Consider the following 24,992-nt stretch of genomic DNA (forward strand, 5'->3'; position numbering starts at 1 on the left):
GGAAGCCCAAGCCCGGCTAGCGAGTAGGAGGGTGGATGGTGGGGGATGATAGGCTAGGCTTAAGATGGCTGAGGGCGGGGATACAAGGTGGTAGGGCCAGAGATGGGCTGGATGGGGCGTGATCGGCCTCCTCCTGGGAGATCTCAGCCCACCTGAGTAGGCTTCTTCCGGCCGCAAGAGAGACTGGGGCCTGGCCCTGATGGAATGGCCATTCTGAGCGTGAAGACCTGCGTCCCCCTCCCTTCAGGAAGCTCCCTGTCTCTCAAATTTCAGGGGGATCATCACTTCCCATCTCTCTGCCAGGTTGATCGAGTTCTGGATCTACAGGAGCCAGTTCTGAGAGGGAGGACTGGGGGTAGGAACGGGGTCTTTGAATGGCTGCGGGACTGCAGGAGACTTCCAGCAACCTCAGCTCCATGTTGGAGGAACATTCTGTACCTGCTGGGTGCTCTGTGTGGTGAGGGTCAGGGATGAGGGTGAGGGCCATCCCTGATGTACCAGGCCTACTAGGTTAGGCCCAATGGTACCAAGCAAGACCTACCACAAAAGTTAAGGGTCCCAGTGCAAAATGAAAATGCAGGACTCCTTGCTACAAAAGTTATTAAGAATTATATTTGGCCAGACGTGGTGGCTCACGCCTGTAATCCCAGCACTTTGGGAGGCCAAGGTGGGGGCCAATCACCTGAGGTCAGGGGTTCGAGACCAGCCTGGCCAACATGGTGAAACCCCCGTCTCTACTAAAGATACAAATTTAGCCAGGTGTTGTGGCACATGCCTATAATCCCAGCTACTTGGGAGGCTGAGGCAGGAGAATCGCTCGAACATGGGAGGCGGAGTTTGCAGTGAGCTGAGACCTCGCCATTGCACTCCAGCCTGGGCAACAAGAGCAAAACTCAAAAAAAAAAAAAATTATATTCAAGACAGTAGCAGCAGAGCATTAAACGAAGCATGGGGCTGTGTGCAACTGCACAGGTTGCATGCCCATGAAGCCAGCCCTGATACCAAGCTACAAGCAGAGTGGGCAGGGTGCAGACCCTATTGTCCCTTCCTCCAAGGAAAAGGCAAGAGGGGCAAGCCCACCTACCATCCCTACGCCAGCTCATTTTTCCCAAAAGGGGAAAAGGGAACATACCATTCCAGGAATCTCCTCTCATCCTCTCCTGGAGGAGAAAAAATGAATCTGCCGCCCACTTCCCCTCCACGGACACACATGGGAGCTAACCCCAGTTCCCAGAGCCACTTTTTTTTTTTTTTTTTTTTTTTGGAGACGGAGTCTCTCTCTGTTGCCCAGGCTGGAGTACAGCAGTGGGATCTCAGCTCACTGCAACCTCTGCCTCCCAGGTTCAAGCAATTCTCCTGCCTCAGCCTCCCGAGTAGCTGGGATTACAGGCATGTACCACCACACCCAGCTAATTTGTGTATTTTTAGTAGATGGGATTTCCCCATCACGGCCAGGTTGGTCTCAAACTCCTGACCTCAAGTGATCCGCTCCCCTCAGCTTCCCAAAGTGCTGGGATTACAGGTGTGAACCACCACACCCGGCCCCCAGAGCCACTTTACAATGCCCTGCCCACAGAAGGAGGGAGAGCATGCCGTGTCCCTCATGCCCTTTCCTCTCCTTTACCCTCTGCAGAGCTGAGTGAGGTGCAACAGCAGCTGCTGGCCATGTCCAGGGAGAAGGGGATCCTTTCCCAATAGGTGGAGCTGGAGAGGGACCTGGGGGATGACAACGAGGAGAAAATTGAGTTTGAGCTCATCCAGCTCCACCCCCACACTTGTGGATGGGCAGTCTGAGGCCCAGAGAGCACACAAGACTTTAGGGCCACACAGCAGGCTCTTAGCAGAACTCTCTACAGAACTTAGGTCTCCGGATTCTTAATCCTTGCCCATCTCTGCTTCACTCTAGCATTAACAGACAGAGGGGGGATCAAGGATGGGGACTGTAATAAAATAGCTTGTTGAATAGCAAGAGAGGCTGGGTGCGGTGGCTCACACCTACAATCCCAGAACTTTGGGAGGCCGAGGCAGGAGGATTGCTTGAGGCCAAGAGTTCCACACCAGCTTGGGCAACATAGCCAGACCCCATCTCTATTTAATATAGGAAATAATAAAAAATAAAAAGTAAAAGAATGGCAGTGTGATGCCACCTTGAAGCAAAACTGCCATGGTGACTGGTATTGGATTCCTGATTCTGGCAGCAAAGTCCTTAAACAATGCCTGTAGCATAGATAACCCCTGTATTAGTCCATTCTCACACTGCTGTGAAGAAATACCTGAGACTGGGTAATTTATAAGGGAAAGACATTTAATTGACTCACAGTTCCACATTGCTGGGGAGGCCTCAGGAAACTTAAAATTATGGCGGAAAGGAAAAGAGAAGAAGACACCTTCACAGAGCAGCAGGACAGAGTGAATGCAAGCAGGGGAAATGCCAGATACTTATAAAACCATCAGATCTCATGAGACTCACTCATGATCATGAAAACAGCATAGGGGTAACCACCCCCATCACTCAATTACCTCCACCCGGTCCCACCCCCAACACATGGGGATTATGGTGATTATAATTCAAGATAAGATTTTGGGTGGGGGACACAGCGAAACCATACCAACCCGTCATAAAGCAACAATGCCTGTAACACAGATAATCCCTCATATAGATGTGTATCTAACCTCCCCAGTGGCCATGACTTTTGCAAGACAGTCTGAGCCATGACTGGCTGCACCTGTTTCACTCTAAAGGCTTGTTATAGAAAAGATATTTTCTGGACAGCAGGTGTGGGGAACCACTTTTGTTCATAAGTCCCTATTAAATGTTTCTTTCTAAGAAGCTGGATTTGTCAGCCTCTTTCTTTCTTTCTTTCTTTTCTTTCCTTTCTTTCCTTTCTTTCTTTCTTTCTTTCTTCTTTCTTTTTCTGAGACGAAGTCTCGCTGTTGTCCCCCAGGCTGGAGTACAATGGCGTGATCTCGGCTCACTGCAACTCCGCCTCCTGGGTTCAAGCGATTCTCCTACCTCAGCCTCCCAAATAGCTGGGATTACAGGCGTCTGCCACCACGCCCAGCTAATTTTTGTATTTTTAGTAGAGATGGGAGTTCACTATGCTGGCCAGGCTGGTCTCAAACTCCTGACCTCAAATAATCCGCCCGCCTCGGCCTCCCAAAGTGCTGGAATTACAGGCGTGAGCTACCACGTCTGGCCTGTCAGTCTCCTTCTTTGGCCTTTCGATTCCCTTGGCCTTTGGGGGTAGGTTTGCAGATATCTGCTCACTGCAGAACAGCGACAGGGGCTGAAATTTAAATTTTTACTGAAAATTAAAATTTAAAATTTTACTGCAGGCCAGGCATGGTGGCTCACACCTGTAATCCCAGCACTTAGGGAGGCCAAGGCAGACAGATCACCTGAGGTCAGGAGTTCGAGACCCATCTGGCCAACCTGGTGAAACCCCATCTCTACTAAAAATACAAAAATTAGCTGGGCATGGTGGTATGTTCCTGTACATACAGCTACTTGTGGGGCTGAGTCAGGAGACTTGCTTGAACCTGGGAGGCAGAGGCTGCAGTGAGCCGAGATCGTGCCACTGCACTCCAGCCTGGGCGATAGAGGAAGACTCTGTCTCAAAAATAGACAGACAGACAGACAGACAGACAGACAGATAATAAAATACAATTTTACTGCAGACCACTTCTGAAGTTGGTGGCTCCCTAAATGCAAAGCATCCTGTGATGCTTTTTCTCCACTGTGCAGATGGAAACCATCCTGGACTAGAATTTCTTTCAGGGAGAGATGGAGCCCTTCTGTCTTTACTTTGAGCTGCTCAGGGGGTTCTGAGGTGAGGAGCTGAAAGTGGTCAGGCCCTGATGGGACTCTGTGGCCTTGACATATAAGGAGACCAAGGAGACAGATCCTCCTTACACCTGGGAGCCAAATGCCTTGACACTGCTCTGTGTCCTGTAAGCCAGCCTCTCCATCTTTCGGGTGCTGGCCAACAACACTTGGCTCTCCAGATATTTTATTCATCAGGGATCCCCAGCCCTGCCCGCCCATGGCTAGGGAAGGCAGGATGGGGCTTGAGGACAAGCCTAGGGGAGCTGGTGAAAATACAGAATAGTGGCCGGGCGCGGTGGCTCATGCCTATAATCCCAGCACTTTGGAAGGCCGAGGTGGGTGGATCACCTGAGGTCAGGAGTTCGAGACCAGCCTGGCCAACATGGTGAAACCCCATCTATACTGAAAATGCAACAATTATTCGGGTGTGGTGTCGCGCATCTGCAATCCCAGCTACTCGGGAGGCTGAGGCAGGAGAATCGCTTGAACCCGGGGGGCGGAGTTTGCAGTGAGCCAAGATTGGCACTCCAGCCTGAACAACAAGAGCGAAACTCAATCTCAAAAAAAAAAGAAAGAAAAAGAAAAAAAAATACAGAAAAGCTCCAACACATGCTCCCGTGCATCAGCAGGGGCTCAGGAAGAGGTGGGTTGCTGGGAGGATCACCTGACAGAAGAGAGTTCTCTGGGTTTGGGCTGGAGGCTGGCAGTGGCCTCCTTGCCCAGACAGGGCTGATGGGTAGGGGGATTGGCAGTGGAGGGGTGGGGGCAGTGAGGGCTGACACCTTGAAGCTGGATGCTGAGTTTGACACACTTAGAGCTGAACACTGATGTCTGTTCAGCCAGAGTCTGGGGAGGTCTTGGACTCCAAAGCTGATTTGGGAATTTGGGAAGAAACATTAAAGCTTTTTAGAGAATAAGGAAAGAGTATGGGAGCTTTACTCTGTTCAGAAAGGAGAATTTATGGAAGTATAGCTCACAATCTATGATCTGCACCCCCAAACATCCAACCTCCCATATGAGAGATAAAACACAGCATCCCTAGGAAGCATTATTCCTGCGCCTCCACCAGGCAGTCATGCCCCAGCCCAGCCTGTCTTCATCCCTAACCATTACCATTCCACCTCCTTTTGTTCAGGGCAGGTCTGGGAATATGTTCATGTGAGGGATCACTTCTTGCAAATGCTCCAGTTATCCTGCACCCTTCAAGTAGGCTCCAAATCCTACAACATTCTCCTTGCCCTCCCAACTCGCAGGGTGCCAGCTTCTTCCCATTCTGGCCAGAGTTTGTGACTTCCATGAACGCCCATAATCTACTTTTCTCTGTTTTCTCTGACCCCATGCTGAGGGGGAAATCAACAATAATAAAAAGGAGGCCAGGCACAGTGGATCACACCTGTAATCCCAGCAATTTGGGAGGCCAAGGTGGGTGTATCACTTGAGGCCAGGAGTTCGAGACCAGCCTGGCCAATGTGGTGAAACTTTGCCTCTACTAAAAACACAAAAAATAGCCCGGTGTGGTGGTGCGCACCTGTAGTCCCAGGTACTCGGGAGGCTGAGGCAGGAGAATCACTTGAACCTGGGAGGCGGAGGTTGCAGTGAACCGAGATTGTGCCACTGCACTCCAGCCAGCAATAGTGTGAGGCTCGGTCTCAAAAAACAACAACAAAAACAATAACAAAAGGGAAAATGAGTAAGGAAATAATGCCCTGTCCCAATGACTGTGTCTGTCTGCAGTGCACTCTATGGGTCAGAGAGACAGCAATGGTCCCACGGGGCAGGTGCCTGGGGCTTCCTCTCCTAAATCAATTCTCTCTCCTGATCCCTGTCTCCTAACAACCCTACATAGTCACAAGCTTGGTCTCTAAATCAGAGGTGATCATTGTCCATCACTACCTTAATTGACCACCAGAGGGAGGTAGAGAGCAAAGTTTACCGCCTGCCTGAGCAGCACTCACCGCATGACCAGGTCCTGCTTCCTTATTGTCTCTTTTAATTGACCTGAAGCGTCCTTACAAGGCAGTCTAACTTAAATATCCGCCAGTACAATTTAAATTCTGCCCCAGGCCGGGCGCAGTGGCTCACGCCTGTAACCCCAGCACTTTGGGAGACCGAGGCAGGAGGACTGCTTGAGCCTAGGAGTTCAAGATCAGCCTGAGCAACATAGGGAGACTCCCTTCTCTACAAAAAATTAAAAAGTGAGCCAGGCATGGCCGGGCGCAGTGGCTCAAGCCTGTAATCCTAGCACTTTGGGAGGCCGAGGCGGGCAGATCACGAGGTCAGGAGATCGAGACCATCCTGGCTAACATGGTGAAACCCCGTCTTTACTAAAAATACAAAAAATTAGCCAAGCGTGGTGGTGCGTGCCTGTAATCCCAGCTATTTTGGAGGCTGAGGTAGGAGAATCGCTTGAACCCGGGAGGCGGAGGTTGCAGTGAGCCAATATTGTGCCATTGCACTCCAGCCTGGGCGATAAGAGCAAGACTCCATCTCAAAAAAAAAAAAAAAAAAGCCAGGTGTGGTGACACATGCCTATAGTTCCAGGTACTGGGAGCAGGGAGCGGGCACTGAGATGAGAGAATCCCTTTAGCCCAGGAAGTCAAGGCTGCAGTGAGCCATGACTGCACCACTGCACTCCAGCCTGGGCAACAGAGTGAGAACCTGTCTCAAAAAAAAAAAAAAACAGAAAGAAAGAAAGAAAAGAAAAAGACGCAGCTGGGCACGGTAGCTCACGCTTGTAATCCCAGCACCTTCAGAGGCCGAGGTGGGTGGATCACCTGAGGTCAGGAGTTCGAGACCAGCCTGGCGAACAGGGTTGAAACCCCGTCTTTACTAAAAATACAAAAATTAGTTGGGAGCGGTGGCATGTGCTTGTAACCCAGCTACTCGGGAGGCTGAGGTAGGAGAATTGCTTGAACCCAGGAGGCGGAGGTTGCAGTGAGCCGAGATTACACCACTGCCCTCCAGCCTGGGAGACAGAGTGAGGCTCCATCTCAAAAAAAAAAAAAAGAAAAGAAAGAAAAAGAGGCAGGGCACCCTGGATGGGAGGAAGGAGCACCACCAAGACAAGCCTAAATGTGGATATTTTCATTCCAAAAGCACAAGAACTTCAACCTGGCTGACCCCACAAGCCCATATATCTCCTCCCTGCCTTGAACTCACCAAGCCCCCTGCTTGGAATACCAGTAGGCAGTCTGAGGGAATGGGACAATGTGGTGCAGGCAGGGTCGGGACGACACCAGGAGTGTGAGGACAGGCCCGGCAGAGTGCTCTGAGATCAGACTGAAGGCGGGAGAAATGAGAGAAGCAAGACTTCCCGGTCAGAGGAGAGAAAGCTGACTAGATGGGCTTTGCAGGTCCTTGGGGAGAGCAGAGCCACGTGTGGCTTTTAGATGCCACTGTTCTCCAGATCTTTGCAGAATCCACTAAACTAGGAACCTTGGCCTGCAGCCAGTGGGAGAAGGGTAGTCACTGGGAAGAAACTCCCAAAAGTCTGACCGAGGCAATGCTAGGCTGGTGAGAGGGTGGGAGTGGGACTATCTTCCCTGGAGCTGATTAAGGCATAAGGAGACTGCACAGCCTCAGGACTATATGCTGAAATGCAGGCATCACGTCAGTGTAGTGGCTGAGAGATACAAGGAGGAAGAGGTGGAAATCCAGGAAAACAGACAGAGATGAAAGGACTATAACACACACAGCAGGTTTCTATGTAAATATGTGCTTGTGATAGGGACCAGATGACTAACGACAACCTTTTTTTTCTTTTTCTTTTTTTTTTTTTTGAATCGGAGTCTTGCTCTGTCGCCCAGCCTGGCATGCAGTGGCACGATCTCGGCTCACTGCAACCTCCACCTCCCGGGTTCAAGTGATTCTCCTGCCTCAGCCTCCCAAGTAGCTGGGATTACAGGCACCTGCCACCACGCCCAGCTAATTTTTGCAGTTTTGGTAGAGATGGTGTTTCCCTCATGTTGGCCAGGCTGGTCTCGAACTCCTGACCTCAGGTGATCCACCCACTTCTGCCTCCCAAAGTGCTGGAATTACAGCCGTGAACCACCGCACCCAGCCTAACGACAACCTTCCCACACACTCAAGCCCCCACCTCTGCCTCTCCTAAGGAGAAGGGACATTTGATTGCTGGAATGGCTGGAGCTGTGGAAGGAGGATGAAGTATTGGGTGGCTGCAGTGAGCCATGATCAAGCCACTGCGCTCCAGCCTGGGTGACAGAGCGAGGCCCCGTCTCAAAAAGGTGTAGGGTGGATGGGAAAGTATGTAAAGAAAAAGAGAGTGAGCAGGGACCAGAGAGGCAGAGGCAAGGCTTGGCTTTGTTCTGTTTCAAGACATAGAGAAGAGATATTTGGGAGCATCTGTCATATTGAATGAGACTTTGGGGACACAAGTGGAGTAATGACTATTTTAGGGAGTTTTCCTAAGTGTGGAATGGTCTAGTCTCATTCACCATCAGCCCCTCAAGGAAACGTTCAGTAAAGATGGAATTGGCCGGGCGCAGTGGCTCATCCTGTAATCCCAGCACTTTGGGAGGCCGAGGCGGGCGGATCATGAGGTCAGGAGATCAAGACCCTCCTGGCCAACATGGCGAAACCCCGTCTCTAATAAAAATACAAAACTAGCCAGGCATGGTGGTGCATGCCTGTAATCCCAGCTACTCGGGAGGCTGAGGCAGAGAACTGTTTGAACCCGGGAGGTGGAAGTTGCAGTGAGCTGAGATTGCACCGCTGCACTCCAGCCTGGAGGACAGAGCGAGACTCCTTCTCAAAAAAAAAAAAGATGGAATTTACTCTTCACAGCATTCAGGGTTGCGTTTCTTTTTCCATGAGTGGTACTAAGAAGAGCCTCAAGGTGGGAGCAGGAAGGCTCTGCTGTGTCAGGTTATACCTGCACATATGCATGGCCACATGGCCCAACACTGTAAGGGCCTTGCTTGTAAGTCCCTTATTCTGTCCTCTAGCAATGTGACCATGTAGGCAACATTTGAAATTCCTTTAAAATTCCTTCTAGGCAGAGATTTAAGCTAAGAGGAGGACCTGAGTGACCTCTGGTGCAACATCTGAAAGCCCACGACAAGCCTCCTGGGCTTTTCCATGAATATCGCCGTGCCCCTGCCTACGGATATGCTGATGTGTGTATACAATATTCTGTGAGAAGCAGAGACGCTGAACACTAAACAACACAAACCCATTTGGTCTAACTCCATCTCTGCCTACTCAGACATCTGCTTCTAGCGGTATCAGAGTTATGTCTATGTAGCTAAAACAAATGGAGTAAGGCAGCAATACACACAGGCTGACAAGCCCAGGATGGAGGGCGGCACTGCAGATGCTCTGCTCTCTACTGGAATGTGTGGACATACAGGAATCCCTATCCCAGGACACCCGCAGACCCCCACCATGAATCCGAGATGCTCCCCAATGACGGTGATGATGACAGAACAGAGATGCCATCCCTGGTCACACACACACACACACACACACACACACTCCCACTGCCTCCCTCTGCACCCCTCCCAAAGGCACCTGCCTTCCTCTCCTCTCAATCCACAAGCCAACCTCCAGCTGCCACCTCTCTATCAGCCTTGGCTACCCCCACCCACGCTGGCACCTGCCTGGCAGCTCCCTATCCACCCCCTCAGCCCTCAGGAGGCCAGGGCACACGTGGAACAGGTTGATGTTGTTCTCCAGGAAGTGGAGTGGGAGGGGGGTGGGGTCACTAGGGCAGGCGGGGTCCCCGGAAGCCTCTGTCCCTGCATAAAGCAGCCTGTCCTGGCAAGGGATGGTCATCCTCTCAACCTACAGACCCAGTGAGCCCTAGGCCCTCACCCCAGACCCAGCTGCTGGATAGGACCCAGCCCCGCTCCCAGGTAAGAACTTGATGACAGCAGGGAAGGCAGGGGTGCTCTGAGGACACAGGAAGATGGGTGGACCAAGAAGGGAATGGAACTCCCCTAGAGTCCAGTGGGATAAGTATCCCGATAGGCCTTGGGGAGGGAAGGGAGAGGCAGGCCTGTGGACATCTCTCTGGTGAAGAGGAGGCTGCTGTTGCCCAAGCCCTTCCCAGGTGCACCCAGGTAGCACCAGGAGGTTGTCCTGCCCCATCCTGGCCCTCCCAGGAATGAGGGTGAAAAAAAAAAAGCACCTTGAAGCTGGCAGAACAGCCCCACGCATCTGTGCCGTGCTTCCTGCCCCCCCTGCTGCTGTGAAGTGCCTGTGGTGGATGTGGGATGCTTCCAAGCCAGCTGGTGTGGCCTCTTCCACCCACGGGGATAACTGGGGTGTGCCGATCGGCCACCCAGCCAGAGCACCTGGACTCAAACTTCAAAGACAGAGACTTAAGATGTTGACCCTCAGGTCAGGTGCGGTGGCTCACACCTGTAATCCCAGCACTTTGGGAGGGTGAGATGGGCGGATCACCTGAGGTCAGGAGTTCAAGACCAGCCTGGCCAACATGGTGAAACACCGTCTCTACTAAAAACACAAAAATTAGCTGGGCATGGTGGCAGGCGCCTGTAATCCCAGCTACCTGGGAGACTGAGGCAGGAGAATCACTTGAACCCAGGAGATGGAGGTTGCAGTGAGCCGAGATCATGCCATTGCACTCCAGCCTGGGCAACAAGAATGAAACTCCATCTCAAAAAGAAAAAAAAAATGTTGCCTCTCAGGTTCCCATGGGCCCCACATTCTCCAGGGCCCTCTCATCCTAGCGCACATCTCTCAGGGCCACATTCATTGGTTCTTTCCACACACATTTGCCAAGCTCGAACTCTGTGCCAGGTGTGGTACTTGCTGCTGCAGAGGTGACTAAGACCCATTTCCTGCCCTCTGGGAAGTCACAGACGAGTTGCTGATAGGGTCAGGTGAACAGATCATAACAAAGGAAGGTGCATCAGAAGAGCGCTTTGGAAACACAGATACAGTCACCAGCTGCCTGGAGGACTGAGGGAAGAGGTTCCAGGAGGTGACCTGAATTGAGCATTAGCGGAGGACTAGGGAGTCTTCAGATCCGGAAGCGGGTATTGTAAGCAGAGGGGGCAAAGGTGAAGAGCATCAAAATGCCTGGATCCTGGCTGGGCACAGAGGCTCACACCTGTAATCACAGTACTTTGGGAGGTCAAGGAGGGCGGATCATTTGAGGTCAGGAGTTCGAGACCAGCCTGACCAACATGGTGAAACCCTGTCTCCATTAAAAATACAAAAATTAGCCAGGCGTGGTGGCACACACCTGCAGTCCCAGCTACTCGGGAGGCTGAGGCAGGAGAATCGCTTGAATCTGAGAGGTGGAGACTGCAGGGAGCCGAGATGGCACCACTGCACTCCACCCTGGGCAACAGAGTAAGACTCCATCTCAAAAAGAAAAAAAAAAGTCTGGATCCAGGCATCCCCCAGGGGCTGTGAGAGGGGAGTGGGTGTACTCATACCTGTGGCACGCATGAGGGAAGGACAGGGTGCAGGGAAGTGTAACCCACACATGGAAAGGGCAACTGGGGCAGGTGAACAGCTTGGCCACCCAGGCTCTTGTTGCCAGCAGCATCTCCTTCCCTCCCCTGGTGTCCTCCGACTCTGGCTATTGCTAGTCTCTGGTGTGAGAGAAAGCTTTACTTCCATTGCTAAATAAATGCTCTAGACCAGGCGCAGTGGCTCACACCTGTAATCCCAGCACTTCGGGAGGCTGAGGTGGGAGGATCACTTGAGCCAGGAGTTTGAGACCAGCCTGGGAAACATAGTGAGACTCTGTCTCTACAAAAAAAATTTAAAAATTAGCCAAGTGCATGACTGCAGTCCCAGCTACTCAGGAGGCTGAAGTGGGAGGATCAATTAAGCCTTGGCGGTCAAGGCTGCAGTGAGCTGTGATCACGCCACTGCACTCCAACCTGGGCAACAGAGTAAGACCCTGTCTCGGAAGAAAAGAGAAGAAAGCAAAGCAAGGAAAGGCGAGGTGGAGGGAAGGAAGGAAGGGAAGGAAGGAAGGAAGGGAGAGGGGGAAGAAAGAAAGAGGAAAGAAAGAAAGAAGGAAGGAAGGAAGAAAGGGAGGGAGGGAGAGAAAGAAAGAAGGAAGGAAGGAAGGAAAGAAAGAAAGAAAGAGAAATAAATAAAGAAAGAAAGAAAGAAAGAAAAAGAAAAGAAAGAAAAGAAGTGCTCCAGCTGGGCTCCGTGGCAGTGAAGAAAATGAGCGTGGAGTGAGAAAAATGCCCTTGACAAAGAAAAGGGAGGTGTGGCTTTGCTGGCCATCTGTGGGACTTTGGGGCAACTCTTTCAACTCTCCAGCCCTAGGTTCCTCATCATAAAATGCAGACTCCCTTGATTCTTTCCAGCTGTGACATGAGACAATCCAGGCATCTCTAAGAGCTCCTCCTGCCTCAGAGCCGGGTAAACTCTCTCTGCAGGGGCCCAGCCTATATCCCGGGCTCCTTGGCAGCCTTGGCAGCCACCTTGACACTCTCCTGTCTCCCCACCTCCACAGAGACAATGACCATGTTTGAAAATGTCACCCGGGCCCTGGCCAGACAGCTAAACCCTCGAGGGGACCTGACACCACTTGACAGCCTCATCGACTTCAAGCGCTTCCATCCCTTCTGCCTGGTGCTGAGGAAGAGGAAGAGCACGCTCTTCTGGGGGGCCCGGTACGTCCGCACCGACTACACGCTGCTGGATGTGCTTGAGCCCGGCAGCTCACCTTCAGGTCAGCCTCAAGCGGGGCTGGGAACTGAGGGATACTGAGGGACAGGGGCTGGGCACCTGGCCTGCAAGGAGGACCTCAAAGCTCCCTCTGGCCAGAGGTGATTAGATGTCATCTAGCCCAAAGTCATCATCAGGAGCTGAGGAGGCTGGTGGTCGGGGGGATACCTCTCAGCTCAGCCTCTTTTATTTATTTACTTGTTTGTTTTTGTAGAGATGGGTTCTTGCTTTGTTGCCCAGGCTGGTTTCAAACTCCTGGGCTCAAGCAATCCTTCCACCTTGGCCTCCCAAAATGCTGGGATTACAGGCATGAGTTACTGCACCCAGCCAGCCCAGCCCCTTTTGTCTTTTCCCTCCTGCAGACCCAACAGACACTGGGAATTTTGGCTTTAAGAATATGCTGGACACCCGAGTGGAGGGAGATGTGGATGTACCAAAGACGGTGAAGGTGAAGGGAACGGCAGGGCTCTCGCAGAACAGCACTCTGGAGGTCCAGACACTCAGTGTGGCTCCCAAGGCCCTGGAGACCGTGCAGGAGAGGTGAGAGTGGGCGGGACTGAGGGTCTCCCGGGATGTGGGTGGGGCAGTGCATGGAAATGGTGCTTGGGGCCTTGAGCTGAAAGGTAGGACCCTTGCACTGACCTTTGCCAATGTGGTCATGACAGGGGAGCTCTTGGAGGCAACCCTTCTGGCCCATGGCTGCATCCAGGCCATTTCCTAGTCACACCTCCCGCTGCTGCCACCGTCTCCAGGACCACCTCCCCACTGTCACGCATGCACAGGGAAGATGATGTCCACACTAGCTTGCTGTGTGATCTTGGAAAAGTCACTTCTCTTGGGACCTCAGTTTTCTTTTCTGCAAAATGACAGGATTGAATGATCATCTCTAAGGCTCCTTCTAACTCTAAGACTATGCAATACACTAGAAAAAGGAGGGATGTGTCTTAACTGCCCCCAGCTGAGACCTGAGCACTGTGTTCTGCTCCCATAAATGAAGCCTCCTGCCTGACCCCAATACACACTAAGCACGCCCTCGGGAATGCTGCCCCACAGCACAAAGGGTGTGGCAGGTGCCACATTGATGCTGGGCACCACCGGATGTTTGGCTTGACACGGGAACTGACTTTTAAGTAGTTAAGTAGTGGTTGAAAGAAGGAGGTAAGGACTGTGAAGGCCAGAAGGAAAGGCTGGGGTAGTCATCCAGCAAGCATGTATATAGTAAAGCACTCTACTACGGGCTGGGGTGCGCCTAGAACATCTTTGTCCAAGAACCTTGCAGTCTAGGAAGGTGAAAATTTTAAAAACCTGTGCAACAGTAATTATAATCAAAGCCAAGAAGTGCTAAGTGCTGTAGGGATGGTTTGACTGAGTCTTGTGGCAGGTCAAAGGGACTTCTGGCTGGGGAAATAAGGGAAGATCTCACAGACATGGCAGCCTCTGTTTTGGGCCTTGAAAGATGAGCAGAAATTGGGCATGCAGGGCTGGGAGAAGGGTATTATGAAGGCACACAGGTGAGCAATCTCAAAACCACCAAGGGCCAGGAACAGCCAGCATAGCAGGGGCGGAAGAGGTGCGAGTAGAACGAGCAGGAAATGCAGGTGAACCCAAACCATGGAAGAGGCAAGTGGCAGCTCCAGGAGACTGAATTGTAGGCACCAGGAAGATCCTGAAAATGTTCTGATGTGTCCCATGACTAATCCAGCCAGATGGAGGAAGTGTGTCAGATAGGGGAAGAGGAACAGGGGTTTGAAGCAGTCAGACAAGGCAAGACACTTTTCTTCTTTTTTTGTTTGAAACAGTTTTTCGCTCTTGTTGCCCAGGCTGGAGTGCAGTGGTGCAATCTTGGCTCACCGCAACCTCCGCCTCCCAGGTTCAAGCAATTCTCCTGCCTCAGCCTCACGAGTAGCTGGGTTTACAGGTGCCCGCCACTACGCCCGGATAATTTTTTATTTATTTATTTTATTTATTTATTTATTTTGAGATGGAGTCTCGCTCTGTCGCCCAGGCTGGAGTGCAGTGGCACGATCTCAGCTCACTGCAAACTCCGCCTCCTGGGTTCAAGCAATTATCCAGCCTCAGCCTCTCAAGTAGCTGGGACTACAGGTGTCTGTCACCACACCCAGCTAATTTTTTATATTTTTAGTAGAGACGGAGTTTCACCATATTGGCTAGGCTGATCTCGAACTCCTGACTTTGTGATCTGTCCGCCTCGGCCTCCCAAAGTTCTGGGATTACAGGGAAGTAATCCCAGTTAAGTAGTGGTTGAAAGAAGGAGGTAAGGTGGCTCGTGAGCCACCACACCCGGCTAATTTTTGTATTATTAGTAGAGATGGGGTTTCACCATGTTAGTCAGGCTGGTCTTGTACTCCTGACCTGAGGTGATCCGCCTGCCTCAGCCCCCAAAAGTGCTGGGATTACAGGCGTGAGCCACTGAGCCCGGTCTTTTTTTTTTTTTTTTTTTTTTTTTTGAGACGGAGTCTCTCTCTGTTGCACAGGCTGGAGTGCAGTGACACGATACCAGGTCACTGCAACCTCCGCTTCCCAGGTTCAAGCAGTCCTCCTGCCTCAGCCTCCTGAGTAGCTGGGATTGCAGGCGCACGCCACTACATCCAGCTAATTTTTGTATTTTTGGAAGAGATGGGGTTTTACCATGTTGGCCAGGCTGGTCTCGAACTCCTGACCTCAGGTGATCCGCCTACCTCGGCCTCCCAAAGTGCTGGGATTACAGGCGTGAGCCACCACCCCCAGCCAAGACACTGTTCTTCTATCCCATGAGCAACGAAAACTGAGGACCCGAGCTGGGGAAGGGCAAGAGGAGTGAAGAGGGAGGAATGGATGCAATGCCCATTGCCAACGGTGATAGAATGGCCTGGGCTTGGTAGCTGATTGCAGGATGAGGGAAAGGGTTTTGTCAAAGGTGACTGCGAGATTTTACCCAGGTTGTGACATTATAGGACATTAAAGCTACCATTACAGGTGACAAACAGGAAGACACAGGTTAGAGGTAGATTTGGAGATTGTGAGTTCCTTTTGGATGTTTTGAGTTTCTGGTTCTGCTGAGACATCAGCTGAGCATGTTGAACAGGTGATTGGAAATAAGGGCCTGGAGCTCAGGAAAGAGGTCAAAGTGAAGATACACACAAGGTAATCAGCACTATAAAGATTAAAACTGTAGGAGCCAGGGGAGGAGTCTCACTCCCGTAAGCCCAGCACTTTGGGAAGCCAAGGCAGGATTGCTTGAGCCCAGGAGTTCAAACCAGCCTGGGCAAGAGAGTGAAACCCCCATCTCCACAAAAAACGCAATATTAGCCGGGCATGGTGGTGCGCCTAGAGTCCCAGCTACTCAGGAGGTTGAGGCAAGGGGATCACTTAAGCCCAAGAGCTCAAGTCTGCAGTGAGTTATGATCGAGCCACTGCACTTCAGCCTGGGCAACAGAGTGGGACCTTAAAAAAAAAAAAAAAGAAAAAACTATAGGAGTGAGTTGGGTGTGGGGAGCTTTTAGAGGGAGTTGAGAAAACAGGACTGAGAACAGAATCTTACAGAACATAAAATTTTAGAGAACCAAAGAAACTGGAAAATGAGGTGCAGACAGAATGGATAAGATTTAGGAACTAGAAGTACTGGAGTTGAGCCAGGGTGGTACACTGTGACTGGAAGCCAAGAGAAGCCAGCGTTGCACGGAGGGTTTCCACAGCAGGATCGAGTATTGCACAGAGTTAGGCGAGGTCATTGAGACTGACAGGTAAGAGATCATTGTAATTTCAGCTGAGTAGTGGAAATACAAGGCAAATTATAAAGAATTTAGGTGGACCGGGCATGGTGGCTCACATCTGTAATCCCAGCTATTCAGGAGGCTGAGGGAGAAGAATCGCTTGAACCCGGGAGGCAGAGGTTGTAGTGAGCCAAGATCGTGCCACTGCACTCCAGCCTGGGTGACAGAGTGAGTGAGACTCCGTCTCAAAAAAAAAAAGAATTTTTTTGATATATTTGCCAATGAAATGAAGGAAAAAATAGGGTAGTAATTTGAGGGAGTGGCATGATCAAAGCAAACAAATTTGTTAGGATTAGGGAGTTTATATATGGAAGCAGACAGAAGGAGCAAGTGGAGAGGAGGAACTGGTGTTAACAGCAAGAGAGAGCATAAGATGTGGAGAGAAAGGATCCCAGAGAGATGAATGGGGAGGAAAGAGGGGGGGAGCATCTACCCCCGGGATCCCAGAGAGATGAATGGGGAGGAAAGAGGGGGGGAGCATCTACCCCCGAACTGGAGGAAAAGGGGGTAAGAAGCACCCAAGAGGCCCTGTTCCTGGCCAGGTGCTGGCCCAATTACCGAGTTTATCTCTGAGCAACCCAGGAGGTCAGCATCATTATACTCATTTCATAGATGAGGCAATTAAGACTCAGAGAAGCTGCCCTGCCAGTAAGCATGAGATCTGGGTTTCAACCTCAGCCCTAGTCCAGAGTCCTCACTCCTTCCCTGCCACCACAATGTCTAGTTCCTGGGAATGACAGAAGGAAAGAGGAGGGTGTGGTACAGGCAGGAAGGAGCTCTGAACGGTTCCCTTATGTTTCTCCTGCAACAGGAAGCTGGCAGCAGACCACCCATTCCTGAAGGAGATGCAAGATCAAGGGGAGAACCTGTATGTGGTGATGGAGGTGGTGGAGACGGTGCAGGAGGTCACACTGGAGCGAGCCGGCAAGGCAGAGGCCTGCTTCTCCCTCCCCTTCTTCGCCCCATTGGGGCTACAGGTTTGATTCAAACACACACACACACACACACACACACTCTCACACTCACACTCACACATACACATTTACATTCAGCCCCTCCTTGGAGGCTTCATTAGCTTTGCCTGATCAGCGCCCACCGAGGATGCTGAAAAGGGCCACTCCTTCCCCCGGCTCTTAAAGATCCAAACCCCAGACATATGCCCCCTCCCTGGTCAGTGGCACCCAGTGAGGGCAGATCCCTGCGCCAGATGCCACAGGGAACTACTGGGGAAGGGGAAAGTCACATTCCTGGGTTTTCCCTCGTGGTGCTCCCATTCCAAAGAGGAGACATCTTTACTCTCGGAAAGTCATCAGGTTCATAGAGGAGACACAGAGGCTAAAGCCCAGAGAACACAGGCTTGGAAAAGCCAATGGAAATAAGGAATGGTCTCCATACCTCTATCTATTGCATCTAAATATTCAAGGGATGATTTGGGATTTGGAGCCAGGAGTAGGGGTTAGTCATGGAAGGCGTCCTGAAAGAGGTAAGCATGGGACAGATGGTGAAGAGGAAGAAGGAGCCAGGGCTTGGATGGAAGCTCTAGGGTGATGTACAGGCAGGAGATGGAGCAGGTCTGCCCAGTTCCCTTCATGCATCTGAACCAGGAACTAGAACTGACCTGACTAGACTCTACTGACCTGAACCAGGTCACTAGAGGGAAAATCAGCAGAAATGAGCACAAGGACTTTGAAGTCCTTCCTCAGAGTCCAGACCAGGGACACCACTGAAGGCTTCCAGCTTCTTATCTCCCTGAAGGCTCTCAGCCCTGACCCTGCACCTCCCCCAACTCACGCTCCCAATATCTCATACTTAAGATGTCCAGAGATTCACAAATTCTCATTGTCTAATTCTAGGGATCCATAAATCACAAGGAGGCTGTAACCATCCCCAAGGGCTGCGTCCTGGCCTTTCGAGTGAGACAGCTGATGGTCAAAGGCAAAGATGAGTGGGGTGAGCAGAGACCCGCATGTTCTCCCCACAAGATGAGAATTACCTGCACCAGTACTGAGGCACCCTGGTCCCCTCTTGCGGAAATGTCAGAGAATGAGTAGGGGGGTGTATTGTACTGTGATCCGACTGCAGCCATGGAGCCTGCTCTGGAGAGAAGGGTGAAGAGGCTCCTGGATTCTGAGCATCTTCTGGGTGCTGGGCACTGTGGTTATTGGGGGAGGGGGTACAAATATGAACATGCACTGCCTCTGCTCTCAAGAAGTCTGTGGCCAAAGGAGGAAACAGACAGAGACTGGAATGGATGATAGAAAGTAGTGTTCTCATAGTAGAGAATTTATCAAGGAAGAAAAGATTGCTTCCAGCAATGGAGGTTGAAGCTGGGAATTAAATGAAGCATTTGGGGTGCAAGGTCCTAGCCCTTAGCAGAGCCCTTTGGCTTGAGACTGAAGAAGGGAATGTGGGGCAGCTGCTAAGTGTCCTCCCACCCTCCCTCCCTTGCCCTTCACAGATATTCCACATATCTGCAATGATAACATGCAAACCTTCCCTCCTGGAGGTAAGTGAAATTGCTTACGGGCTTCCCACATCTTCCGCCCTACCCCTGACATTATCTGCCAAAATCCTCCACCCTCTCCTAGCTTATACTATAATCCCCCAAGGAGCCTCTGCTTTTGTTTCCCAAGTCCCTAAGAATACCTAGCCTCAACTTTAGAAAGACAGATAGAGGCATATAAATACTGTCCCAGAGAGATATAGAAACTGACAGACAGAGACCGGAAGGCACAGTCAGAAGCAGAAGTAAGACTTGGAGACTGAGTGTGTTCCCGAATCATGGGGGTGGATGAGCTAGCATAATCTCCCTGTGTTTTTATAATGATCACTGATGAAACTGCCTTGAAGACTGTTTTAGATGAAAAGGCAAAAATGGGTTTTGTGCTGACAGATGTGCATTTTTTCTGTCTTCAGAAAAGTCAGGAGAGGAGAAGGTCATCCGTAAGTGTTTCCTTTCATTCCACTGAAACTTTCTTGACTCCAAATTTTAAAACTCCAGTCTTTTTCTTTCCTTCTGACAGGACTGACAGGGAAATAGCAGAGCGAATCTCAGCAAATAATTGTCCCCGAAACATGGCAGAAATTCCAATAGCTTGGGAAAAAGCAGTGGAAAGGGGGGAGTCTTTGCCCAGGTGGTCTGACGCCTGAGACCTTTGTCCTCAACAGCCTTACTAGCAGCCAGGCACAGTGATTCACACCTATAATCCCAGCACTTTGGGAGGCTGAGGCAGGAGGATCCCTTGAGCTCAGGAGTTCAAGACCAGCCTGGGCAACATAGTGAGACAATGTCTCTATTTAAAAAAAAAAATTTTTTTTTGGATGGAGTTTCACTCTTGTTGCCCAGGCTGGAGTGTAGTGGCGCAATCTCAGTCCACTGCAACCTCCACCTCCCCGGTTCAAGTGATTCTCCTGCCTCAGCCTCCGGAGTAGCTGGGATTACAGGCACCCGCCACCATGCCCTGCTAATTTTTTGTATTTTTAGTAGAGATGGGGTTTCACCATGTTGGTCAGGCAGGTCTTGAACTCCTGACCTCAGGTGATCCACCCACCTCAGCCTCCCAAAGTATTGGGATTACAGGCGTGAGCCACGGCGCCTGGCCTTTTTTTTTTTTCTTGAGACAGAGTCTCATTCTGTTGCCCAGACTGGAGTGCAAAGGTGAGATCTCCACTCACTGCAAACTCTGCCTCCCAGGTTCAAGCAATTCTTGTGCCTCAGCCTCCTGAGTAGCTAGGATAACAGGCGCGGGCCACCACACTCGGCGAATTTTTAGTATAGATGGGGTTTCACCATGTTGGCCAGGCTGGTCTCAAACTCCTGACCTCAGGTGATCCTCCCACCTTGGCCTCCCAAAGTGCTGGGATCACAGGTGTGAGCCACTGAGCCTGGCCTAGAAAAAAAAAAAAAAAATTAAGAGTCTTAGTAGCTATAACCTGCTACACACACATCTGCAACTCGGCCGCCCAGCAACTGGGGCCAGAGCCACTGAGTCACAGTAATGCCAGGAACAAGGTAGCTGGGCTCTCCCAGGAGACAGGCAGGATGTATTTCCTCATCTTCCTTAGTGTCTCAACCCCTGGGTATGGCTGCCATTCTGAAGGATTGCATTCTTATCTTTTTTTTTTCCTTTTTTTCTCAGTTATCCAGGCATCTGATGTTGGTAAGGAACTTTGTGAGTTTCTCCCAAGACTTTGGCATGGAGGTAGCATTAGGGGCAGAGAGAGGAGAAGGCGAAGTCATTCTTTGTCAGCTAACTCATGGGAAGGGAAAACAGACTTTCTTTCTCCACTTTTTGCTGGAGTCTCAAAGAAAAGTCAAGTGTGTACTGATATGGGATAAGGCCTGGGATCTCAGGAAGATTAACTGTTGGGTTAGATGATACATGCATCCTGGCCCACCTTCTCGCCCCAACCCTCAGGTTAGGGTTGGTGGATAGTTCTGTCACCGCATTCCTTGGTAAAGAAAAATGGGGCCAGGCTCAAACTGGGGGGTAGAGCATGGGTACCTAAAGGGGGCTGAGTGTAGGAGCCCTGCAGGGGGAATGCTGACTGGAGAGGAAGGTGCCCGATGGAGGGCTGTGTGTCCCATTATTGTCCCCATAGGGGACGTACACGAAGGCTTCAGGACACTAAAAGAAGAAGTTCAGAGAGAGACCCAACAAGTGGAGAAGCTGAGCCGAGTAGGGCAAAGCTCCCTGCTCAGCTCCCTCAGCAAACTTCTAGGGAAGAAAAAGGAGCTACAAGACCTTGAGCTCGCAGTGAGGACCTAGTGGAAGTGGGGAAGGGTGGGAGAAGGCATGTTTTGGTGAAGATTTGGTGGGGGCGGGTATTGCAGCAGGTAGGGAGATCTGACGGGGGCAGGAGGTGGGTGGCCAGGGGAGTCCACCTTAGATACCTTCCCCAAGGCTGGCCACGTGCCCCAAGGCTGCCAGGCCACTGCTCCTCCCTTTGTCCCCTGGAAAAGGGCAAACAGTGGGTTCCCCCAAGGCACATGCTCCCTCTGATGGCCAGAAGGGACTTCTGCTGGAGGGGCTGGAACCTTCTCTTTCCAGAGTCCAAAACTCAGGAAACAAGGAACCCAGGAGTCCAGTACTCTTCAGGACATGAGGCCTCGAAAAAGAAATCAGGAAATGGAGAGAGTTTCCGCATGTCAAGGGGTTATTATGTGCTGGGCCCTGGGTTGGGCCCTTTCCTATGTTATCTTCAATAGTCGCCCACCTTCCCCCACAGCTTGAAGGGGCTCTAGACAAGGGACATGAAGTGACCCTGGAGGCACTCCCAAAAGATGTCCTGCTATCAAAGGAGGCCGTGGGCGCCATCCTCTATTTCGTTGGAGCCCTAACAGGTAAGTGGGGAATAAGGTCTTCATTTATAGACCTTTTCAGTAATAGGAATGAATCACTTGAATCAATTCCCAAATGGATGAATAAATGAATGAATGACAAATTATACCACAGTTAAGTAGTTTATATCTACATTTTTATAAATTGGTTTCATGGCTGGCTGCAGTGGCTCATGCCTGTAATCCCAGCACTTTGGGAGGCCAAGGTGGATGGATCACCCGTGATCAAGAGTTCGAGATCAGCCTGGCCAACATGGTGAAACCCCGCCTCTTCCAAAAATAGAAAAATTAGCCGGGCGTGGTGGCAGGTGCCTGTAATCCCAGCTACTCTGAAGGCTAAGGCAGGAGAATCGCTTGAACCCAGGAGGGGGAGGGTGCAGTGAGCCGAGATCACTCCATTGCACTCCAGCCTGGGCAACAGAGCGAGACTCCATCAAAAAAAAAAAAAATTGGTTTCATTCCTAAGGATTTGCTTGGTCACATTGGGTAGTCTGAGAAGACAGCCTAGTCTTGCTAATAGAGGTTGAATAACCCTAGTTTTATCAGCAACATATTTAAAATTTCTGCATATAGCTAAGCTCATCACTTCTATCCTGATACCTGTTAGCTTTAACTTCAGGGAGTAACATTTTCTTATCTTGCCCCTAAGAGCTCTTCTTCCCTCCACATTTTCTAGTTTTCCACTTAGAAAAACTCTGTGGTCCTTCAGGTGTAAGCCAAAACGTTTGTTCCCTTAGGAAGCCTGCCCTCCGACTCCAAGACCAAAGTGGACCCCTCAGCTATGGCTCCCTTAACACCTGCGTTGTAATTACATCCAATGAATGAAGGCTGAAATTCTGGAAGTGCGCTATTTGGAGGCTGTAGTCCCCTCTGCACCAGCAACACACATCTTTCTCTGCTTTTTTTCTCCAGAGCTAAGTGAAGCCCAACAGAAGCTGCTGGTGAAATCCATGGAGAAAAAGATCCTACCCGTGCAGCTAAAGCTGGTGAGGGAAAAACAGCAGATGCTGGGGAGAGTCTGGGAGTAGCTGCAGCCAGTGGAGATGCAGATTTCGCCTAAGGATGGAGCCATTCTGGAGGATCCCTGTCTTATCCCAGGGGCTTATGCCCACTCCTCCTTTCTCTCTCTATTTCTCATTTTTTGTTATTTCACAAGAGGTAGAAGACTGAATTTCTGGGCAATAATCTGGGTTTATTAGCCTGATCTTGGGAGAAGAGACAGAAACTGTGGCTTTGCTTATTCCTAGCCAAATATTGTAAGCAAATTTTTTTTTTTTTTTTTTTGAGATAGAGTTTCACTCTTTTTGCCCAGGCTGGAGTGCAATGGTGCGATCTTGGCTCACCACAACCTCCGCCTCCCGGGTTCAAGCGATTCTCCTGCCTCAGCCTCCCGAGTAGCTGGGATTACAGGCGCCCACCACCACACCCTGCTAATTTTGTATTTTTAGTAGAGACAGGGTTTCACCATGTTGGCCAGGCTGGTCTCAAACTCCTGACCTCAGGTGATCTGCCCACCTCAGCCTCCCAAAGTGCTGGGATTACAGGTGTGAGCCACCTCGCCTGGCCTGTGAGCAAATTTTTTACTGTGTCTGAGTCTGTCTCAATTTATTCCTCTGTAAAATGGGGCTAAAAATCAATGTGCTGCCCACTGTATAGGGCTGTTCAAAGACCCAGATGGGGTTGTAATGTAAGGTAAAGTAAGGAATTCTAATAAGGGGAATGTAACCTTCTTGTGATTTTTGTGAGTTAGGAGAGGAGAGAGGTTTCCAGTTCTTTCTTTTCATGCTGTTTTGATTCCCTCCAGGTGGAGAGCACGATGGAACAGAACTTCCTGCTGGATAAAGAGGGTGTTTTCCCCCTGCAACCTGAGCTGCTCTCCTCCCTTGGGGACGAGGAGCTGACCCTCACGGAGGCTCTAGTCGGGCTGAGTGGCCTGGAAGTGCAGAGATCGGGCCCCCAATATATGTGGGACCCAGACACCCTCCCTCGCCTCTGTGCTCTTTATGCAGGCCTCTCTCTCCTTCAGCAGCTTACCAAGGCCTCCTAATTTGCCTTTTACGTCTGCTTCATGACTCCCTAATGCCTTCCCAACCTCGTGGTGCTGTGTCCTTACCACCTAAGGGCATTTCAGAGCCATCAGCTGAAGACATCTGAAATCTCAGCTGGTCACCCATGATAACCAACTTCCACCTGCCCAACCATATATCACCCCCTACCCCTCCAGCTCCGCAACCCACTAAGCCCATCTGCTGATGCTTAAATTTTCTTTACTTTTCTTTTCTTTTTTTTTTTTTTTTTGAGATGGAGGCTCACTCTGTCACCCAGGCTGGAGTGCAGTGGCTTGATCTTGGCTCACTGCAACCTCCGCCTCCCAGGTTCAAGCAATTCTCCTGCCTCAGCCTCTCGAGCAGCTGGAATTACAGGCACGTGCCACGACACCCAGCTAATTTTTGTATTTTTAGTAGAGACGGGGTTTCACCATGTTGCCCAGGTTGGTCTCGAACTCCTGGCCTCAAGTGATCTGCCCGCCTCGGCCTCCCAAAGTGCTGGGATTACAGGCGTGAGCCACCGTGCCCGGCCTGTGCTTAAATATTCTAGGAGTAGAAGCACTCAGACTTTTAAAACTATGAGCCGTTTCAGCAAAACTGAGAAAAAAAGAAGATTAATTAATTTCCTATCCTAATCCCTCCTACTTATACTTCCCCAAAAAACAAGCTTTACTGGAATTAATGGAAAATATTATGTCAATCTTAGGAATGATATGTCTTTTGGTGTTTTTCTTTAAAGAATTTATCATACAGAAATTCTTAATTTGTGCCAGAAAAAGAAATTGTTATCATACTGCATATAAATCATATGTACATGAATATGATGCTGTACTGTCCTCAGGCAAACTGGAAAATGCTCAGAGGGTATAGAATGTGGAATCCAGATTTTTTTTTCTGTTCAATTAGTTTTCTTTAATGGAATCTAGAGTCTCAAGTGAGAAGATATCAAAGCAGTTTGTCTTCAAAGAAGAGCATTTGGGAGTCCCCTAGCTCTGGGTTGAGGGAAAGACCGAGAGATATATAGTAGAAGCCCGAAACAAAAATAAGACAGATTTCAAATTTATTGAACAGAAAATGCAGATGGGCCTTTAAAAAAAAGGGGGACCCAAGAATAAGACTAACCCAAAACTTTAAAAACTAAATTGTGATATTATTTCACCTTTCTCTGTTCTGCCCTGAAATTTAGGGTTCTTGTAGGAGGAAGTAGTGTGGGTAGGCTTGGCATATTACTACTAATATGGATATTACAATCTCATCAAACCGCTGGGTTTATATCATCCTCCTCTGCCTAAAAGCTGGGTTTGAACATCTTTCACCAA

The 24,992-nt window shown here is 50.3% G+C and overlaps 1 protein-coding gene across 4 annotated transcripts; it reads left to right on the forward strand.

The window, feature by feature from the left end:
• On the forward strand, positions 9,618-24,382 carry GSDMA (gasdermin A). 4 transcript variants are annotated; one of them, NM_178171.5, is made up of 12 exons: positions 9,618-9,699; positions 12,297-12,515; positions 12,874-13,051; positions 17,096-17,261; positions 18,138-18,234; positions 18,743-18,790; positions 19,201-19,227; positions 20,424-20,444; positions 20,887-21,041; positions 21,514-21,628; positions 22,538-22,611; positions 23,430-24,382. In NM_178171.5, the coding sequence occupies exons 2-12, from the start codon at positions 12,302-12,304 to the stop codon at positions 23,670-23,672; spliced, it is 1,338 nt and encodes a 445-aa protein (NP_835465.2). In that variant the 5' UTR covers positions 9,618-9,699; positions 12,297-12,301; the 3' UTR covers positions 23,673-24,382. The 4 variants fall into 4 exon arrangements, with proteins under 4 accessions (NP_835465.2, XP_016879991.1, XP_006721895.1 ...); XM_006721832.4 differs by lacking the exon at positions 9,618-9,699 and adding an exon at positions 12,140-12,202; XM_017024502.3 differs by lacking the exon at positions 19,201-19,227.
• The last annotated feature ends 610 nt before the right edge of the window (positions 24,383-24,992 follow it).

The sequence above is a fragment of the Homo sapiens genome, chromosome 17, assembly GCF_000001405.40.
Source record: "Homo sapiens chromosome 17, GRCh38.p14 Primary Assembly".
Lineage (NCBI taxonomy): Eukaryota > Metazoa > Chordata > Mammalia > Primates > Hominidae > Homo > Homo sapiens.